We start from the raw sequence: 22200 nt of genomic DNA on the forward strand, positions 1-22200 counted from the left end.
GAGGGAGGCACACACCACCCCTCTATCAAGCTGCGAACCTGGGTGTCTCATCTCTCAGTGATGCTTGGGCACCACCTAAGTCAGAAAGTCCCGCCCAACTGGGAGCTGCGGGAGTGAGTAGTGTCACCTAATCTGCTGTCCAAGTGCATCCTGAGGGTACCAGGGGTTGCAACTGCCAGCAGAGTTTAGGCAGAAGCTGGACCACTGGACTGGAAGCTCTAACAGGCATTGCCCACCTGGCTACCAGTGGTGGAGCGTGGTGGGGTCACCTGCCCTGCCTGTTGGGTGTTTCCAGTGACAACAGGATGTTGCAGCCACTGGCTAAGTTCAGGCAGAAGCGGGACATCTGGGCTGGAAGCTCCAGCAGGTGTTGCTCGCCTGGCTACCAGTGACAGGAGCAGGTGGGGTCGTCCGCCCTGCCGTGTAGGTGTTTCATGGGACAACAGGAGGCTGCAGCCTCTGGCCGATTTCAGGCAGAAGCGGTAGTGCTGGGCTGGAAGCTGGCACCAAGCCTTGTCTGGTGAGGAGGGTGGACCAATCCTACTGCTCCCAGGCACCATGACTTTGGCCTCTATTGGGGCTGTGGCGCTGGTGTTGGTCTGTTCCAGGATCCGAGGCTTGTAGAGGTCCCCTTGGACTTAAGAGTTGCCTCTGCAAACCGTCTGGGTGGCTCTCTGCCTCAGTTTAGAGGTGAGGTGGGAGGATGAGAGTGGCAAGTAGGGGGTTAGGGCAGGGGAATTCTCCCACTCCCAGCCTTACACAGATCCCCATGGAGAGTGTGAATTACCCTCTCCCGTATTGGGGAGCTTCTCCTGACTCCGCATTGATGCCAGATAGGCTGCTGCCCAGCTTCCCTCCTCTCTGCTCTCTGTGTCCCCTTGCTGCTTTGATGGTTCCCAGTGTGGTTTCTTAGATGATTGGCTTTTAGGGTCAGTGTTCACTAAACCCTTTGTTTCCCCTCCATAAGAGAGCAGCACCCATGATCTGCTTCTAGTTTGTCATATTGGCCCCTCCCATGCTGGGCACCTTTTTTTTTTTTTTTTTTTTTTTTTTGAGACAGTCTCACTCTGTCGCCCAGGCTGGAATACAGTGGCATGATCTCGGCTCACTGCAACCTCTGCCTCCCGGGTTCAAGTGATTCTTGTGCCTCAGTCTCCTGAGTAGCTGCGATTATAGGCATACGCCACCACACCTGGCTAATTTTTGTATTTTTAGTAGAGACAGGGTTTCACCAAGTTGGCCAGGCTGGTCTTGAACTCCTGGCCTCAAGTGATCTGCCTGCCTTGGCCTCCCAAGTGCTGGGATTACAGGCATGAGCCACCATTCCTCTGCTGGGCACTTTAAATGACTTCTGTATCCATGCTTAAATTATCCACTTCTCGATGATAGTCATTTGTGATTTCTTTCATCTCACTTGCCAGAAATGTGTCTATCTTATTGATTTTTTCAATAAACCAACTCTTAATTTTATTTACTGAGTCTACCGGGTTTTTTTAATTTTCTGTATTTCATCAATTCTAGCTTTTTTCTTTACCTTTGCTTTCAAATTTCTTAGATATCATAATGATTGTATCATTAGTCCTTCTTCTTCATGGAATAGGATAAAAGTACATATTTTCTAAGCTTATTACTTCTTGGATTATGTTTTTTGGCATAGAGAGGGAATGTACATCTCCCAATGCCTTTGAAGTATTTAATAGCAACCTCACATGATGACTAGATATGCTGCTTATGTGGCAAGAGAGGAATATATGGAATAGGACTTAGAATACTGTTACTTATATTTATAGACATTAAGTGGCTGTTCTTTGGCAGTGATTTCTGAGTATGAAGAGATGAATATCAAAGTACATATTAGAGTAGAATTGAACTAGTCTACTACTACTTTTTAAAAGGAAAAATAGATAATAACTTTATAATATAATAACTTATAATAACTTTTTATTATTCATTTAAGAAGTTAAAACACAAATATTTTCTTCTAGCAGAGAGAGACTCTAAGGTAATTCAAAGAGAATTTCTTTACTGCAATGTTAAAATCTGTGTACTAAATTGCTTTTAATCTTTTTAAAGTTGCGTGTTGTATCACAAGATGTGAAATTGAGCCTTCAAGAATTGGATGAACTTTATGTCATCTTTAAGGTACTGTTGTTCTTCTTTAAATGAAAAATAATGCTTTTTTTTAGCAGAATTGTATCACAGCCATTCTAATTATTTTTATCTTTATTTTAGCAGACATGGTTTTTAAAATCTTCCAAAATTACTTTTTCTAATTAGTAACTTTCCTTTTTTATTTATTTTTAATAGAAAGAGCTGTTTTTATCTTGTTATTGGTGTTTGGGTTGCCCAGTATTGAAGCATCATGACCCCAGTCTGCCATATTTGGAACAGTATCAGATTGACTGCCAGCAGTTCAGAGCGTTGTATCACTTGTTGAGTCCCTGGGCTCATTCTGCAAATAAAGACTCACTAGCTTTATGGACATTCAGATTGTTAGATGAAAACTCTGATTGCCTTATAAACTTCAAAGAATTCTCCTCTGCAATTGGTAAGATGATTTTTTTAAGCAAAAAAAAAAGGTGCTCCTAGAAATACTTAGTACTGCCTATTATTGCCAATTTAGTCAGATTATATCACCATGGGTTACAGTGTGTTTAGCTTTAGTAATAAATGGACCCTTTTCTGCATTTGTTGCTAAATCTAAGTATTTTGATATTATTTTCCCCAACCCTTTCAGAAAAGCAAGCTGTTAGATGTGAGTGTTTTAAGGGTTAACATAAGGAAGATAACGTCCCAATTTTCCCACACTCAGATGCATGGGTACTACCGAAGGACTTCCCCCACCCCACCGACCTCCCCGTAAAAATTCAACCACATAGCCTAGAAGAGTGGTAGATAAATACCCAGCAAACATGTTGTACCTACAGATAGTCAAGATGTTGTACCTGTAGATATTGTTCATTTGCTTTTCCAGATACCCCAGCATGCTTTCTTATCAGGGATCACCCCTTGAAGAACAGTTCTCTCCTGCACAGGCCTCATTCAAAAGAAAAGAGAAATCTGAGATTGGGGGGAAGGAGCTAGGAAAGAGAACATTTTACTTTTTTGATAAAGAGTATTTTGCTTATACAGTTATACACTTGAAGGAGAGCATCTGATTGACTAGGTGGTTGTTTAATTGTTAGCTTAAGTAACAGGTTTCTAAATCCTAATTTTTGACTAATGTCTATATCTTAATTAATCTTTGTTGCTGAAATTGATTGAATGTTCTTTAGATACATGATTATTTACAATTGAATTTTATTGAACAGACATAATGTACAATGGAAGTTTTACTGAGAAGCTTAAGCTGCTTTTTAAGCTACATATTCCTCCAGGTAAGAGTTTACCAGTCTTTAACGATGTACAGCAGGAATTTATTCCATTTTAGCAAGTATAATTACAGATTTTTTTAACAACTAAACTAATTTTCAACATGATATAAGATCGTTGCTTCACTGTGGCCCTCAAATTATATTATGACTACTTTTTGCTGATATAGATACAGTGATCTTCTATGGAAGAGATTCTGTGTAACATATGGGCCCACAAGTTTCCTTCCTGTTAGTAGTCAATTTAATGATAAGTAGTTTGTATATAAGAATCACATATCATTTGATTGTTGGTATAATGTTGAATTGTTGTTGTTGTCATTAGAGTGGAAATTAACTTTAGACAAACTGCCAAACCTGCGAAATACTACAAATTATTCAGAAAAATGGGACAAGGAAGCAGGGATATTAAATATTTTAAAAAGGAAGCACAATAAACGCTATCATTTATTAAGCACCTGCTCTGTCAAGACATTAACTTTACATGCATTTTTAAAATTTAATTCTCATAATATCCATGATAGGTGGCATTATCCTTCCAATTTTGATGATAAGGAAACTGAGAGCTGGAAAGATAAAAATTTGCCAAAGATCACATCGCTAATAAATTGCATAGCAAACTGAAGTCTGACTCCAAAGCTCACATTTCTTTATATTCTTCCGTACTACCTCAAAATTACCACACCATTCAGTTTACTTGTTTTTCCCACTGACCTGAAGAGGATGCCTTGCCAAAGCCTGATCCCTACTTTGTGAAAACAGTCTTAGGCTTTAAACTGAAGGAGCATTGCAAAAAGTACCTTTTAGCCGAGATGGGGTAGTTCACAAAAACAAACAGCACCTCATAATTTGTTTAAAGCTACACCTGGGATCCCTTTTCAGCTTTTCTCAGGATAGCCGGGAAACATTCTTTACCACACCAACAAGGTAAAGGCCATCTTTAACCCTTCACACACTCAAATCACAAACACATCATTAAAAGCAAAAGACAAATCACCTAAAAATTTAATTATAAAAGGAGTTTCCATTGTCAAATCAGGCTACTGTTAGAATGTTTAATATTGTCATCAACTATGCTTTTAACAGAGGGATAAAAAAATAGGAAAAACATTATGTACCTGTTAAAGCACAAGTAGGAAGTAAACCAAAGCACCCAACTTTCTGTTTTCCTTATTATTGAGGATGTTTTTTAAATGGCTGAGGTCACATTTTCAGAGATTTCTAAATGCCAGATTTAAACAATTTCAACTTTTAATAGCTCTTGGAAAACCATTAAAAAAACAAGTAGGAAAAAAATAGAACTCAAAATGATCAACTACTTCTTGTATTTACTATATTTTATATATATTACATATATTACAGTATAATTACTATATATTACAGTAGAGTAGAACCACTTCTGTATTTCTTCACTTACATCTTTCTTATACAGAAACTCTTTAACACCCAGTTCCCAGATATACCTGACCCATTATGAACCTCATCTCTGCCCCTGGTTGTTAATAAATGTAATTTGGGTTATTTATATGTTTTCAGCTTACACTGAAGTGAAATCTAAGGATGCTTCAAAAGGAGATGAACTTTCCAAGGAAGAATTACTTTATTTCAGTCAGCTGCATGGTAAATACCTGTTTAAAATGTTAACTGTTTTGATGATTAGCCACCCATAAAGATCTTGCTGACTTAGATATACTTTACCCAACTAAAATTGGGCTTCATTTTAACTTATACTTCTTTTGTATTACCACAGCACTTAGCATGGTCCATAAATGTTTGACCGGTTAACCAAATTGCATTTTGGTGCTTTGATTTGTGGAATTTCTTGCTTATTGGAGACTCAATAATGTATTTTGTTTCTACTTACGTTGCAGAAATTTCTAAAATGTATTAGACCATTTTCATGCCTTGATAAAATACAATAGAATCTTTGATGATTAAAGGCCATAGCTATTTTTCAAACAGTGAATACTTATTATAAATCACTGTAGGTGTAGGAGACAGGGATGAGTCTGTCTCCAAGACAAAATTTAAAGTGATATGAGTTTATTTTTGTGTCCTTTAGTTTATTTTCATAAATATTCAATGTCCTATAGAGGGATGAACCCTGATTAATGTATATTTGTGGTTATTATATGTTAAAGTGTTTGAACATTAAGTTTGAAGGGACCTTACAAATCATCTAGTCAAGTCTCTTCCTTTTATAGATAAAGGCACTAAGGCCCAGAGAGAAGTGACTTGTGCAAGGTTTCACAGTGAGTTGTTGCCACAGTCAGGGCTTTGTAGCACACTCTTCTGACGTCCAGTATGTGCTTTTTTTCTCCTGATAATAAAAGTAATATAACTTTATTTAAAGAAAGTCACAAAGAAGAAAATACCACCCAGAAATAAATACTTAATATTTGGTATGCTTCCTTCTAAGATTTTTTAAAATACGGATTTTCCCCCAATGTTCTTTTTACTGTGAAAGTTTTGGAATATTTTGTCTTCTGATGATAGGTCAAGTCAGCTAAAATTTGTTTGCAGAATTGAATAAAATAATGTGCTTATACGTCTATATGAAACATTATTTTGCTTTCAAAGAGTATTTGTTAAACATCTTACAGAATGCAATTACATCTTTTCTTATAGTTTCCAAGCCTGCAAATGAGAAGGAAGCAGAATCAGCAAAACACAGCCCTGAAAAAGGTACTATGATCTAGGAGTTATCATTTAATTTATTTAGTTATTTTTATGTAAATAAGGATAGCTACAAAGGGGGAAAAGGTGGATTCCTTTTAAAGGCTATTGATGTCTCAGAAATTATAGAAAATATGATAGTAAATGACCCATATTCATTTAATTTTATTATTTTTAAAAGATTTGTTTTTAATTACAAAAGTAATAGATAATTCTTAGAAAAGAAATTCAGACAGTACATAAGTCCTTTTGTCTTCACTCAACCCTACCCGAAAACATTTTTGTCTATATCCTTTTCAGATCTATTCCTATGTATACACAATATATGCAGACATCTCTCTTTTTTAAAAAAATATTCCATAAGTACTGTTTTATAATTTCCTTTTTGGATTTTGCAGTATATCATGGACATCTTTTAATGTCAGTACATTTGTATCTTAAACTCTTTGAATGAATAAGTAGTGTTTCAAATTTTTGAAAAAGAGCTACTAAAGACCACTTTGTTTTGTTTGTTTTGAGATGGAGTCTTGCTCTGTCGCCCAGGCTGGAGTGCAGTGGCATGATCTCAGCTCACTGCAACCTCTGCCTCCTGGATTCAAGCCATTCTCCTGCCTCAGCATCCCGAGTAGCTGGGACTACAGGCGCCCACCACCACACCCGGCTAATTTTCATATTTTTAGTAGAGACAGGGTTTCACCATGTTGGCCAGGCTGATCTCGAACTCCTGGCCTCAGGTGATCTGCCCACCTCGGCCTCCCAAAGCCCTGGGATTACAGGCGTGAGCCACCGTGCCCAGCCCACTTTGGAACAATATATGCATATTAAGAACATAATATAGAAGCTGTTTTAAACTTAATAGTATACATGAGAATGACTACATAAAATTTGCATTATTAAGTCGGGGTGTATTGTTTTAATCTAAATATGTCCTTTCTCCCTCTCTCGCCACATATTCCCTAGTTCCCAACTTTCCTAAAGTAAACGTTTTAGTCTAAACAGAAATGGGAAAAGTATTCTGAGAGCCAGTGGGTGAAATGAAAGGTAATTTCAGATCATTTCCTGGATTAAAAAAATGGGATCTTATATCTCAGTGAAATACCTTTTAATCATAATTATTATTTTTGAATTTTGGGAAAGTATAGTGGGCTGTTCCTTATGAAATGGTTTTACTCCCTTTCTTCAGGCAAAGGGAAAATTGATATTCAAGCATATCTAAGTCAATGGCAAGATGAGCTTTTCAAAAAAGAAGAAAACATTAAGGATTTACCAAGAATGAATCAGGTATAGCATTTTTAAAAAGAAAATTCTAAGTTCTTGCTTTTTTGTATGGATGTGGGTGTAACCTCTAAAATAGCTAACATGCTATTCCCAAAATAGTTAAATAATCTATCTATTAGCTCTCTAAGTTTCAGATGAGCATGGAAGAGTGGGAAGAAATTTTTTAATGATTTTTTTATTTTTAACACTCAAATGTGTCCAGTGTTTCAGAGAATTCTTCTGCTGTGACATGTACCTATAGAAAAAAAGTATGTGTAGTATATTTCCAACTTTATTGGAAATGTTCATTTATTCAGTAAACATTTGTTTACTGTATACCAGATACCAAACCCAATGCTAGGTACTGGGAATGATAAATTACTGAGATGGGTCACACCCTGGTTCCTACTGATCTTATATCTGAACATAATTTTAAGTTCATCTCTTTCTTATACACTGCCTAATCAAAATATGTTCTTCTTTTTGTAATTAAAATCTGGTTAGTACAGATACTGAGGATCCCGAGAACTTTACCAAAATGAAAACTATCAAATAACTTCATATTTCTCAGTGGACTATATCATTTGACAATTGAATAAGTACTTTCTAAAATGAGTCAGTATGACATATTTATTCTAGAATTACTATAAATGAACAGTACTATTGTTTAGGGAAAAATTCTCTCAAACTGCCTTTTTTCCTCTACTCTCACACCATGACAATAACAATCATCAACATAGAAGAAAATGTCTGTGGCCAAATGTGTGGGGGTTTTCCCCCCAACCAAGCAGCAGATACCAGCTGAGTGTCCTCCAATTAAATTCCAACACTATCTACCTAGAAATAGTATGAGATCCCACAGGTTGAGTGTTCAGTCCCCAAGACTGCTCCCTCCTTTCCCCCAGTAACAAGTCTGAGCCTCCTGAACTTCTGGCTGACCAACTTCAAGTTGGGGTTCCCACTATCCCTTCTTTGAGTTCGATTAATTTGCTACAGAGAGACTTACAGAACTCAGAGAAATAGTTATATTTACTGGTTTACTAAGAAGGATATTTTAAAGAATACAAATAAACAGCCAGAAGAAGAGATACACAGGGCGAGGTCTGGAAGGGTCCCAAGCGCAGGAGCTTCTCTCCACGTGGAGTTGGGGTGCACCACCCTCCCGGCATGAGGATGAGTTCTTCTTTACCTTCCTCCTGTCAGCCTCCATGCATTCAGCTATCAGAAGCTCCCTGAACCCAGTTATCTTGGGTTTTTATGGAAGCTTCATGATGTCAGCATTCCTTCCCCTAAGGGTATGAGGTAAGACCCTTTCTAGGGAGGGTTTTAAGACCGACTATCAGAAAGCTACTCTGGAGGATGAGGCAGGAGAATCACTTGAACCTGGGAGGTGGTGGTTGCAGTGAGCCGAGACTGCACCATTGCACTCCAGCCTGGGCGAGCTGAGATTTAACCATTGCACTCCAACCTGGGTGAGCTGAGATTTCACCACTGCACTCAAGCCTGGGTGACAAGAGCGAAACTCTGTCAAAAAGAAAGAAGGAAGGGGAGGGGAGGGGGAGGGGGAAGGAAGGGGAAGGGGAGGGAAAGGGGAGAGAAGGGAAGGGAAGAAAAGACTGTAACAAAGGACTATGGGAGTTGTGAACTAGGAACCCAGAAAAATATTTATATATATATATATATATATATATATATATATGGAATTCAGGATTAAACATCTTAAACAATTCTTAAACAAAAGCCTATGATTCTAATGTCAGTGACTTTTCATTCCATGGAAGCAGGTCAAAGTGCAGCCTAATTTATGCATAATTTTAACTATATTTCTGTCCAGAATTCTTGTTCACCCTCTGAGGACAGCTTCAAAGGGACTTTGCCTAATTAGAAGTACCACCTGGCCAGGCGCAGTGGCTCATGCCTGTAATCTGAGTGCTTTGGGAGGCCAAAGTAGGAGAGGAGCACTTGAGGCTAGGAGTTTGAGATCAGCCCAGGCAACATAGTAAGATCCTGTCTCTACAAAAAATGTGAAAATTAGCCAGGCATGGTGGCATGTGCCTATAGTCCTAGCTACTTGGGAAGCTGAGGTGTGAGGATCACTTGAGCCCAGCAGTTGGAAGCTGCAGTGAGCTATGATTGCACCATGGTACTCAAGCCTGGACAACACAGCAAGGCCTTGTCTAAGGAAAAAAAAATAGCACCTAACATTTAAGTAATGCTGGCAGGCAAACAGTCCAGGAATTAGTCTGGATAAAATGTACTATTAGGCAATAAGTGAGAGCACTTAAATGAAATTTTCTTCCATGGTTCATACTCATCTTTTTTTTTAAGATGGAGTTTCTCTCTTGTTGCCCAGGCTGGAGTGCAATGGCACGATCTCGGCTCACTGCAACCTCTGCCTCCATGGTTCAGGCGATTCTCCTGCCTCAGCCTCCCAAGTAGCTGGGATTACAGGTGCCTGCCACCACGCCCAGCTAATTTTTTGTATTTTTAGTAGAGGTTTCACCACGTTGGCCAGGCTGGTCTCGAACTCCTGACCCCAGATGATCCACCCGCCTCGGCCTCCCAAAGTGCTGGGATTACAGGCATGTGCCACCGCGCCTGGCCCATACTCACCTTTCTAGAACCAATATGTATTTTGGGGTTAATCACCAGTTCTTATAACTTCTAGGGTGAAGCTTCTATGGTACAAATCCTATATAGGAGACTATTCACTTCTAAGTTCTCTTTATATTTGCTAAGTCTAATATTCAAACGTGATATTTTCAACTTGTGTCTTCTAGTCTCAGTTTATTCAGTTTTCAAAGACCCTCTATAACTTATTTCATGAGGACCCTGAAGAAGAATCATTATATCAAGCCATTGCTGTTGTAACCAGCCTTTTACTCAGGATGGAAGAAGTTGGAAGGAAACTACATAGCCCTACATCATCAGCCAAAGGATTCTCTGGTACTGTCTGTGGTTCTGGAGGACCCAGTGAGGAAAAAACAGGGAGCCACTTGGAGAAAGATCCTTGTTCCTTTAGGGAGGAACCTCAGTGGTCATTTGCATTTGAACAGATTCTTGCATCGCTGTTGAATGAACCAGCATTGGTGAGGTTTTTTGAGAAACCCATAGATGTAAAAGCCAAGCTGGAAAATGCAAGAATTTCTCAGTTAAGGTCTAGAACCAAGATGTAAATCCCTAGGAATTGCCTATCATAGACAAGTTTACTAACATTCCTGTAGCTGTCAGTTTGATTCCTGTGAGTAGGGCTCAGGGATTTATCTTGTTACCAATGTGTCTGAAGGCCAAAATATATATCCAGAAGCACAATGCATCATTCCTTTGTTGTTGATAATGGGCTTTGTTAGCACTTTTTAAAACAAACAAACAAACAAAACAAAAAAGCAAACCACATTTGTTATCTCAAATTTTGATGATATTCTCAAATACAAATATACTTTTTTATATTTCACAATATATGCAATATCAGGGGAATATGCTAAATGTTACCACCAGAGGGCACAAGCATATCACTTTTAGTAAGGAAATTACTAGCTTGTGTTGCTATTTACATATGAATTACTGATTATTTTGAAAAGACGGTGTTATGCTTGGGTGTTAGTGAGGCTGATATGTCATGTCAATCGATAAACCCTACTTTCCAAATTATCTAAAAGATTACCATTTGGGGCCCTTGTTTTCAAGTTATCTAACTGAAATATTATTAATTTTTTTAAGTTAATCTCATTCAGTCTTCTAGTAATAAATGCTTTTTTAAGTACCTTCTACAGTCTTCCTACCTGAGGGGTTCAGAGGCTGCTGACTCACACTGCTAACTCTGTTACTGACAAAAGCAAATCAATAACTCTAAATTCTGGGCTGATATAAAGAAAAAAACAATATTGGATTTGGATTTAATCTGGGTAAAATCAGCCTTCTGAGAAGGGCTAAGAAACAGTTCAATTAACTGTATAGGTCTTTCATTAGACCGAGACATCACTAGAAATTCTGGGCACTGCTGTTTGTGGTATTTGTCTCAGAGTAGCTTATGACTGTTTTGGTTCTAGCTTTAGATTTTGGATTTTCACCAGTCATGTGTTAATTTACATTAGATAGTAAAGAATGGCTACACTAAGACTGAATTATCTTATTAGTCTGGCAAGCATATAAAGTATACTTGTATGTAATGATTGCCAAGGTAACAGAATTGCTGACATCTGTCTAAAAAGTTTTGACTATCCAATTTAGATGTGTAATTTCTATATACTTTATGCTGTTTATATTTCAGTCATTACACCAAGTCCATTTAGAGATAATGGGCTTTGTTAGCACTTTCAAAAAAAAAAAAAGCAAACCATACTTGTCCACTGTCCTGTGCTATTCCTACCAAGGACAATTTATTAATCAATTGACTTAGAAAATAGGGGGAGAAATCATTCATTGGAGCTTCTTTCTTTAGAAAAGACTTTGGTTATAAGCCTTTTGACTTTTCTAGATGTGAAACCATGAAAGGGCAGACCTCCTTCAGAGTGACTCAAGAGGTCTCCCTTTCTTGGAGGGAGTTGGTACAGTCAGCCTTTGGGAAGAATCCACTGTGAACAAAGCTTAACACATGGGGCTTCATCGCTCATAGAATATGTTATTTTCAAAGAAGTTCAAGAATTTTCAAGTTGAGCCTTTGAAAATCCCATAAATTGGTTTTAGCTAAACACTTACTAGTAGTGTCTTTAAATTATTTAATCAACCTTGTCTTTTCAAGGAAATTACCACTTAAAGAGATAGTTGGTAAATAAACATCTATGCCTTTTCTCAGAAATGATTTGCTGAACTATGTCCATATTTTACAGCTTAGATAATAGTTTATATGGAAACTATTATACATCTGCTATTGTGCAATGATTGTTAAATTATACTGAAGTAGCTCTAGAAAGACACATGTATACAAGGCACTATTGTACACACTTTGCTGAATATTTTGTCAGTTGTATTTACAAAGAAAGGTACTTTCTTAAGAGCATATATGTTATTAATATTTGATATGATTTTAAAGTCAGAATAGTACAGATTGCTGAGTATTATACTTTAGGCTAGATTAATTAAAATTGAATACTGAAAGAGATTTTTTGAGTTGCAAAAAGTTTATAAATGCAAAGCAAAAAGAAAACATTTATTTTCTGAGTCTGCAGGAGAAACAAACTAAACATTATAGTTTTATAGCTGCTATCTTGTTAACCAAACAGGTTGTTCATAATATTAAAAATCTTACGTAGTTGTGTTAAACTGAACCAGTTCATTATACCTTATGCATTAAATTAAATATGTTATAAGGTGGCTTTACTTGTCTTTATAAAAATAAATATATCTACTAAACATGAAAAATGGTTTACTTAAAAAGATTAGTATTATTTATTATGATGTCTTTTTTTCCTTTTTCTTTTCTTTTCTTTCTTTTTCTTTTTTTTTTTTTTCTTTATTGAGACAGGTCTCAATCTGTCACCCAGACAGACAGGTCTAATTCTGTCACCCAGATTGGAGTGCAGTACAGCCTTGATCTTCCAGGCTCATGCAATCCTCATGTCTCAGCCTCCCAAGTAGCTGAGACCACAGATACACACCACCATGCCTGGCTTATTTATTTATTTATTTATTTATTTATTCATTCATTCATTTATTTATTTATTGGTAGAGATGTGGTCTCCCTATGTAGCCCAGGCTGTTCTCAAATTCCTAGGCTCAAGCAATCCTACCGCCCCAGCCTCCCAAAATGTGGATTACAGGTGTGAGTCACCATGTTCAGGCTTTTTTTTTTTCTTTTTCTAAATTTCAGTTCACACAGAACTATGATGTATTTTTACTTGCACTTCACTCAGATATCACTTGAGGACTTCCCTCTTGTATCAGAATTCAATTGCAGAGAGCTAATTCACTCTAGTTAGTTTAATCAGGAAAAGATTTATTACTAGATATCAAGTGGCTTACATAATTATCAGGAGGATGGACTAAACTGAGCTTTGAAGAACAACTTCCAAAGGCACACCACTATCAGGCCACCAAGGGAATTGCTAACTCTTCAGTGTTAAGGACACTGCTACTTCCTACTGCTGTCATAAAAAGCCATCACTACTGCTGCTACCTCAGAAACCATGCTTCAACTGCTGTGACTTACACTAGCAAAATAGATGGCAGGCACCCTGCCTCTCATCACCCACAAACTGATGACTAAATTGCAATAGAACAGCCAAACATCTTCACAACTATGTTTACCAGCAGAAATGGCAGAAACATAGCCAACACCTCACTTCTGTCATTCAAATCTCACATGTGTGCATCTGATTGGCCTCTAATAAATCCAGAATCCTAGTTGCAGAGGAATCTGGGAAATTTACTTTTAGCTTTTTAGCCTCTACAGTATAGAAAGGCAAACTAAGAGGGTGGAAAGCAAATTGAACAGTGTGTTTGTTTTCTATTGTTGCATAGCTAATTCCATCACACATTTATTATCTCACCATTTCAGTGGGTCAAGACTCTGGGCTCAACTTAGGTCGATCTTCTGCTTAGAGGATCTCACAAGGCTGCAACCAAAGTGTCAGCCAGGATGGTTCTCATGTAAAGGATCATCTAAGGAATAATCCACTTCCAGGTTCACTCAGGCTTTGGCAGAATTCATTTCCTTATGGTTTCCAGTCTGGGATGCCAGCTTCTTGCTGGTAGTCACTTGGCAGCCACCCTCAGCTTCTAGAGGCTTCAGTCAGTTCCTAACAGCTGCCCTCACCTTCTGTGGACAGTTCTTTGCCACATCAGCTTTCCCCAAAATGGCCACTTACTTTATCAAGGCAGCAAGAAGTCTCTAGAGCAAATCTGCTAGAAAGACAGTGTCTTATATAATGTAACATAATTACAGCCATGACATCCCATCCCTTTCACCATGTTCTGTTGGTTAAAGGCAAATCACAGGTCCTGCGCACACTCAAGGCGAGAAGAGTAACAGTGATGCATGTGACGCTGGGGCCCTGTAGCTCCGGATCCCTAAAGGCAAGGCAAATTATTCCGGTAACTACATTCATAGGCATATAATCATCAAAAGAAGCACATTTATCCTATCTCACGTTATGCTGCAGTTTCCATTTCTGTCTTCAGAACTACATATTTCTCCCATTGCAGAAGCATCAAGCAATGTATTTCCTAGCTTCTAATTCTGCTTGTCTTCCTTTTGCAGGTAATGCCATTTCTTTATGACTACTTTTAAGATCTTGATCTTTCAGTGTTCTACAGTTTCCTATGATCTATCCAGCTTTTAAAAAATCCTGTTTGAGATAAATTATTAAATTTTGATAATTGACTATCATTTTCTAAGACCTCTTTACCTTTGGCAGAGTCCAAACAGACAAGTTAAAGGAGGGTAGGATAGAAATCACCCCCACCTCCCATACACACGCATGTTCTTCAAATCTTTGGTACACACTCATCTCTGTGGTTTCCCTAGGGATGTGTTATTGACAGACCCAACTAATTCTACTTGGCCCTTTCTACCATAAAAAGTTCTTACTACACTGGTCAGGGAGCAAATGTGGTATATCTGTCAGTTGCTGATTGTGGCTATTTCAAGTTATACATTCATGAACTGAGAAATAGCTATACAATATATTTGCAAACACACTAGATCCATTGTAGATGGATTCAAGATAAAACTGTATCTCTTGACTCCATAAGCCCTGCCTCTGACCACTAGATGACCATTGTGTTCTAACCCCCTCTAATCTCTCCCAGGAATGAATGTGAACTCAGAGTCAGTGTCAAATAATCTCTGAAAGTCCAAGTCATTTGCCCAGTGCAAATTACCCTGGTAAATGGCCACAGGTTCCTCTTCCTAAAAGAAGATTTACAACACATGCTCATGGTATTGCAAAATCCTTCCTCACGGGTACCTGGTTTTCCTTCAGGAGCCTCTGAATGTGCAAACTGACTCAGGTCTGCAAATTGGGTGAAAGACCTTAAATCTGCATCATGATTACTCAAATTAGGTCTTTGTTCACCAGACTGGAAATATTTTGGCTATACAAATCAAGTAGGAATTAGTAGGCTACCATTTATTTTAATCTAAGAGACCTGAAGAAAAATTAGCCACTACCAAACATCTCTGCAAGTCAAAACATTTAGATGGCTTCCCTGGCCATGCTCCTATCATACTCAACCATGCTCACCCCATCTCTAGTCATTAAGTTCTCCCACTTGGTCTCTGCCATTCTAGGTTCCCATTATTCTCATTGAATTAGCAAGTTCCTGACAATGGCAGCGTGAACTAAGAAATTAAGGAGACCTACAAATAATATTGTTAAAATGTTCATACTACCCAAAGTGATCTACAGATTCAATGCAATTTCTATGAAAAAAATGACACTCTTCACAGAAATAGGAAAAAAATTCTTAAAATTCATATGTAACCACGAAAGACCACGAATAGCCAAAGTAATCCTGAGCAAAAGGAACAAAGCTCAAGGTGTCATACTACCTGACTTCAAAGTATACTACAAAGCTACAGTAACCAAAACAGAATGTTACTGACACAAAAACAGGCACATAGACCAATAGAACAGAATAGAGAACACAGAAATAAATTCATGTATTTATAGCCAACTGATTTTCAACAAAGACACCAAGAACGTACATTGAGGAAAGGACAGTCTTCAATAAATGGTACTGGAAAAACTAGATAGCCACATGCAGAAGATCGAAACTAGACCTCTATCTCTCACTATATACAAAAGTCGAGTCAAAATGGATTAAAGACTTGAATATAAGCCCAGAAATGATAAAATGACTAGAGGAAAACATACGGGAAATGTTTCATGACATTGGTTTGGGCAAGGTTTTTTTTTTTTTTTTTTTGATAAGACCTCAAAAGCACAGATGACAAAATTAAAAATAGACAAATGGGATTGCATCAAATTAAAAAGCTTCTGCATGGGAAAGGAAATAACAGAGTAAGGAGACAACCTACAGACTGGGAGAAAATATTTGCAAACTATGCATCTGGCATGGAGCTAATAATCCAGAATATACAAGGAAGTCAAACAACTCAACAGCAAAAAAGAAGCAACTCAATTGAAAAATGTGCAAACCACCTGAATAGACATTTCTCAGAAGAAGACATGGCCAACAGATATATGAAAAAATGTTCACCGTTTTCTTCAGGGAAATGCAAATCAAAAGCACAATCAGATATCACCTCACCCCAGTTAGAATGACTGCTATCAAAAAGACAAAAAATAACAAATACTGGTGTGAATGTGGAGAAAGGGGAACACTTACACAGTGTTGGTGGGAATGTAAATTAGTATAGCCATTATGGAAAACAGTGGGGAGGTCCCTCAATTAAAAATAGAACTACCATATGATCCAGCAATCCCTCTTCTAGGAATATATCCAAAGGAAAGGAAATCAGTACATCTAATAGATATCTGCACTCCAGTGTTTGTTGCAGCACTATTTACATAACCAAGGTACGGAATCAGCCTAAGTAATCATCAATGAATGAATGGATTTTTTAATGTGGTATATTTTCACAACAGAATATTATTCATCCATAAAACAGAATGAAGTTTTGTCATTCATGGCAACATGGATGAACCTAGAAGACATTATGTTAAGTGAAATAAGCCAGACACAGAGAGACACATACTGCATGATCTCACTCATATGTGAAATCTAGAAAAGGTTGATCTCATAGAAGAAAGTAGAAATCATGGTTACCAGAAGGTTGGAAGGGTAGTGGGGAGGAAGGGATGGAGAGAGATGGGTTAGGGAGTACAAAGTTACAGTTAGATAGGAAGAAGACGTTCTGGTGTTAGAATAGTAGGGTGACTATGATTAACAATATTATATATTTCAAAATAGCTGGGAGAGAAGATTTTGAATGTCCTCACCGCAAAGAAATGATAAATATATGAGGTGATGGATATGCTAAATACCCTGATTTGATCATTGCACAATGTATACATGTATTGAAACATCACACTTCACCCCATAAATATGTACAATTATTATGTGTCAAAAATTAATTTTAAAAAAGAAGTTAAGGAGACTTAATTTCACCATAAGTCATAGCCTACAAAAGACAGCCACTGTAGCATGTTTCAAGGATACTGAGACTCCTCTCATTAAGGTAATTTTCAATGCCTTGAGTAAGAAAGCATCCTCTGGTCCCTGTTGGAAGAGGGACATGGTTAAAATGTAGGTGACTGAATCATATAAATGTACTCCAATGTTTCTATCTCCTTAAGTCTTTGGAGTACTTCCTCTTCATCATACCAAGGAATATCTGCTATATCAACTTTATTTAATATGGGCTACTTTTGAGCCTTGGCTTCCATCAATCAACTGATCAGAGCCACTTCCAATTAGGTAAGCTAGCAATTGAATTTAGACTCTCTGGTAAATATGTAGATGTTGGTCTATTTGGCCTGATCAAAAATTATTTTTTCCTCTGTAGTATACCATTCTAAGACACATTCCTACACATATTCTCCAGATTTCTGTCATTATAAATTAGCAAAATTTTGCAATTCTTATCTCCTTCCAGGTCAGACTTCATATTTGTACTCTTGGAGCATACGCTTATCTGACTCTAGTTATAAGTCTGAAAGCAATGAGGAGGGTAGGGGTGCTTTATGAAGAAAGTTGACATTCCCCTAAAAGTAAATTCAGAGCGTTCAAGGAAGGCAGGACCAGCCTTATGAAACTGGGGCTGCTTCTGTTGGCAAAGCATACTTGTTGGTAAACTACTTAGGTTGTCTGAATCTACCCAAATGTACACATTTCTTTTTTTAAAAAAATTATTATACTTTAAGTTCTGAGATACATGTGCAGAACATGCAATTTTGTTACATAGGTATACATGTGTCATGGTGGATTGCTGCACCCATCAACGCGTCATCTACATTAGATATTTCTCCTCATGCTATCCCTCCCCTTGCCCCCACCCCCCGACAGGCCCTCGTGTGTGATGTTCCCCTCCCTGTGCCCATATGTTCTCATTGTTCAACTCTCACTTATGAGTGAGAACATGCGGTGTTTGGTTTTCTGTTCCTGTGTTAGTTTGCTGAGAATGATGGTTTCCAGCTTCATCCATGTTCCAGCAAAGGACATGAACGCATTTGTTTTTGTGGCTGCATAGTATTCCATGGTGTATATGTGCCACATTTTCTTTATCCAATCTATCATTGACGAGCATCAAATGTCCCCATTTCTATTCTTGGGTGGTCTCACTCTATCCTGATAAATATTCTTACTTTCATAAAAATGAACCGGTAAGGCTGTGAGTTCAATGTATACTATAATTTAATGACCCATTATATCAGACTCTGTGGCCAATTTTCAACTATGTCAGTTCTACATCAACAAGAAATAAGGGAATAGAAACTCGTAGTTGTCTGTTTCTTGTGCTGACCATGTATATCCCAATGTAGCCATTTTCTTTCTTTAAACTGTAGAGTACAGTTAGAAAAAGTTATCCCACTTCACAATTCTTGGGTTCATTATTAGTGCTAAAATAATCTGTAGTGGCAGTTACCTGGTCCATCTAGCCTTGCCTTCAATAGGCACATGTACCACTAACATCCCGTATTATAATACTAAAAGAATTATCACTGCTTTCAAACTCAACCAGATTATGTAATAATCTCCAGTTTTCTATTTCCTTGAAATGTTATCACCTGCAAGCACTCCAGGTACTACATTCTTTATTTATCATCTCAATAGATGCAGAAAAAGCATTTCATAAATTTCAACATCTTTTCATGATGAAAACTCTCAACAAATTAGGTATAGAAGGAATGTGTCTCAACATAAAAACACATACAACAAACCCACAGCCAACATCATGCTGAACAAGGAAAAGTTGAGAGCTTTTCCTCTAAGAACTGGAACAGGACAAAGATGCCCACTTTCACCACTCTTATTCAACATAGTACCAGAAGTTCTAGCCAGAACAATAGGCAATAGAAAGAAATAAAGGGCATTCAAATTGAAAAGGAGGAAGTCAAATTGTCTTGTTTTCAAATGACATGATCTTATATATAGAAAAAACCTGAAGACTCCACCCAAAAACTCTTAGAACTGATAAATTCAATAAATTTGCAGGATACAACATCAACTTACAAAAATCAGCAACATTTTCATACACCAATAATGAACTAGCTGAAAAAGAAATCAAGAAATCAATCTCATTAACAATAGCTATTAAAAATATAATAGCTAGGAATAAATTTAACAAGGTAAATGAAAGATCTCTATAATGAAAACTATAAAAGACAGATGAAAGAAATTAAAGAGAACATAAAAAATGGAAAGACGTCTCATGCTTATGGATTAGAAGAATTAATATTGCTAAAAGGACCGTATTTTACACAAAGTGATCTACAGATTCAATGCAATCCCCATCAAAATACCAATGACAGTCTTCACAAAAATAGAAAAAATAATCCCGAAATTTGCATGGGACCAATAAAGACCCTGAATAGCCAAAGTAATCCTGAGCAAAAACAATAAAGCTGGAGGCATCACACTACCTGACTTCAAAATATACACTACAAAGCTATAGTGGACAAAGCAGCATAGTACTGGCACAAAAACAGACATGGACCAATGGAACAAAAAAGAGAACACAGAAATAAATTCACACACCTACAGCGGAGTTCACTTTCAACAAAGGTACCAAGAACATACATTGGGGAAAGGATAGTCTCCTCAATTAATGGTGCTGGGAAAACTGGATATCCATATGCAGAAGAATGAAACTAGACCCCTCCCACCATATACAAAAATTAACTCAAATGGATTAGAGCCTTAAATGTCAGACACAAAAAATATGAAACTACTATAAGAAAACAGGGAAAACACTTCAGGACTTTGGCCAGTGATTTTATGGATAAGACCTCAAAAGCACAAGCAACAAAATCAAAAATAGACCCAATGCGACTATACCAAACTAAAAATCTTCTGCACGGCAAAAGAAATAATCAACAAAGTGAAAAGATAGCCTGCAGAATGGGAGAAAATATTTGCAAACTATTCATCCAGCAAGGCATCAATATCCAGAATACACAGGGAACTTAAGCACATCAATAACAACAACAACAACAAAACCCTCAAATGATGCAATTTAAAAATGGGCAGATAAGGTGAATAGACATTTCTCAAAATAAGACATACAAAATGGCCAACAGATACATGGAAATATGCTCAACATCACTAATCAGGGAAATGCCAATCAAAACCACAGTGAGGTATCATCTTACCCCAGTCCAAATAGCTATTATTAAAAGGACAAAAAATAACGAATTGCTGGCAAGGGTGTGGAGAAAAAGGGAACTTTTTTTTTGTTTTGAAACAGGGTTTCCGTCTGTTGCCCAGGCTATAGTGCAGTGGCATGATCACTCACTGCAACCTCTACTTCCCGGGCCCAAGTGATCCTTTCGCCTTGGCCTCCCAAATAGCTGGGGCTATAGGTGCACGCCACCACGCCCAGCTAATTTTGTATTTTTAGTAGAGACGGGGGTTTCGCCATGTTGCCCAGGCTGATCTTAAACTCCTGGACTCAAGCGACTCGCCTCAGCCTCCCAAAGTGCTGGGATTACAGGTGTCAGCCACTGTGCCCAGCCAAAAAGGGAACTCTTATATACTGTTGGTGGGAATGTAAATTAATAAATTAGCCAATATGGAAATCAGTATTTAGATTCCTCAAAAAAAAAACTAAAAATAGAAAACCATATTATCCAGCGATACCACTACTGGGTTTCTATTCAAAGGAAAGGAAATCAGTATGTCCAAGGATATCTGCACTACCATGTTTATTTCAGCACTATTCACAATAGTGAAGATGTGGAATCTACCTAACTGTCCATCAACAGACAAACGGATAAAGAAAATGTGGTACATATACCCAGTGGAATACTATTCAGCATAAAAAGAATGAAATCCTGTCATTTGTGGCAACATGGATGAGCCTAAAGCATATTATATTAAGTGAAATGAACCAGGCACAGAAAGTGAAATATTGTATGTTCTCACTCATGTAGAAGCTAAAAATGTTGAGACAGAAATAGAGAACAGTGGTTTCTAGAGGCTGGAAAGTGTAGGGGGAGGGAAGGATAATAACAGATATTGAAATTATAGCTAGATAGGAGAATAAGTTCTAGTGTTCTATATCACTGTAGACTGACTATATTTATAATTTATTGTATATTTTCAAATAACCAGAAGAGATAATTTTAATGTTCTCAGCACATGAGGAAAAATGTGTTTGCAGTGAAGAATACATTAATACCTTGATTTAATCATTACACATTGTATACATGTATCAAAATATCACACTGTATTCCATAAATATGTACAATTATATGTCCATTAAAAATAACATGAAAAACTATATAAATTGAATCTTATGGCTATGATACAACATGCATTTTTTTAGTTGGCTTCTTTCACTCAACATTATGTTTTTGTAATTCATTTATGTGACGTATCAGCAGTTCATTCCCTTTTATTGTGTGTGATAATTCATTGTATGGCTATATTGTGGTTTTTAAAATCCATTCTACTGTTGATGGAAATTTGGATTGTTTCCAGTTTCGTGATATAAAAATAATGTGGCTGTAAGCATTCTTATATTTGTCTTTTGATGCCCATATTTATGCATTTCTTTTGGGTATATATTTAAATATCTGGAAGTGAAATTGCTACATCAATAGAGTATGTATATGTTCAGCTTTGATAGATGCGGCTAAATAATGTTCCAAGTGGCTGTGCCAATTAATACTCCAATCAGTCATAAATAAGAGTTCTGATATCTGTATATCCTCACCAACACTTGGTATCGTCTATCTTTTTTCATCTTAGCCAGTCTGGTGGGTGTAAA

The 22200-nt window shown here is 37.3% G+C and overlaps 1 protein-coding gene across 3 annotated transcripts in view; it reads left to right on the plus strand.

The window, feature by feature from the left end:
- The window catches only part of TBC1D8B (TBC1 domain family member 8B), a 73478-nt gene extending 60813 nt beyond the window's left edge, over positions 1–12665 (plus strand). For all 3 annotated transcript variants that reach the window (NM_017752.3, NM_001441214.1, NM_001441215.1), the window contains 7 exons: positions 2074–2142; positions 2308–2548; positions 3312–3377; positions 4908–4991; positions 6000–6056; positions 7231–7328; positions 10085–12665. In NM_017752.3, coding sequence (NP_060222.2) covers positions 2074–2142; positions 2308–2548; positions 3312–3377; positions 4908–4991; positions 6000–6056; positions 7231–7328; positions 10085–10480 — 1011 coding nt within the window. In that variant the 3' untranslated portion in view covers positions 10481–12665. The remainder of the gene's footprint in view (positions 1–2073; positions 2143–2307; positions 2549–3311; positions 3378–4907; positions 4992–5999; positions 6057–7230; positions 7329–10084) is intronic.

The sequence above is a fragment of the Homo sapiens genome, chromosome X, assembly GCF_000001405.40.
Source record: "Homo sapiens chromosome X, GRCh38.p14 Primary Assembly".
NCBI lineage: Eukaryota > Metazoa > Chordata > Mammalia > Primates > Hominidae > Homo > Homo sapiens.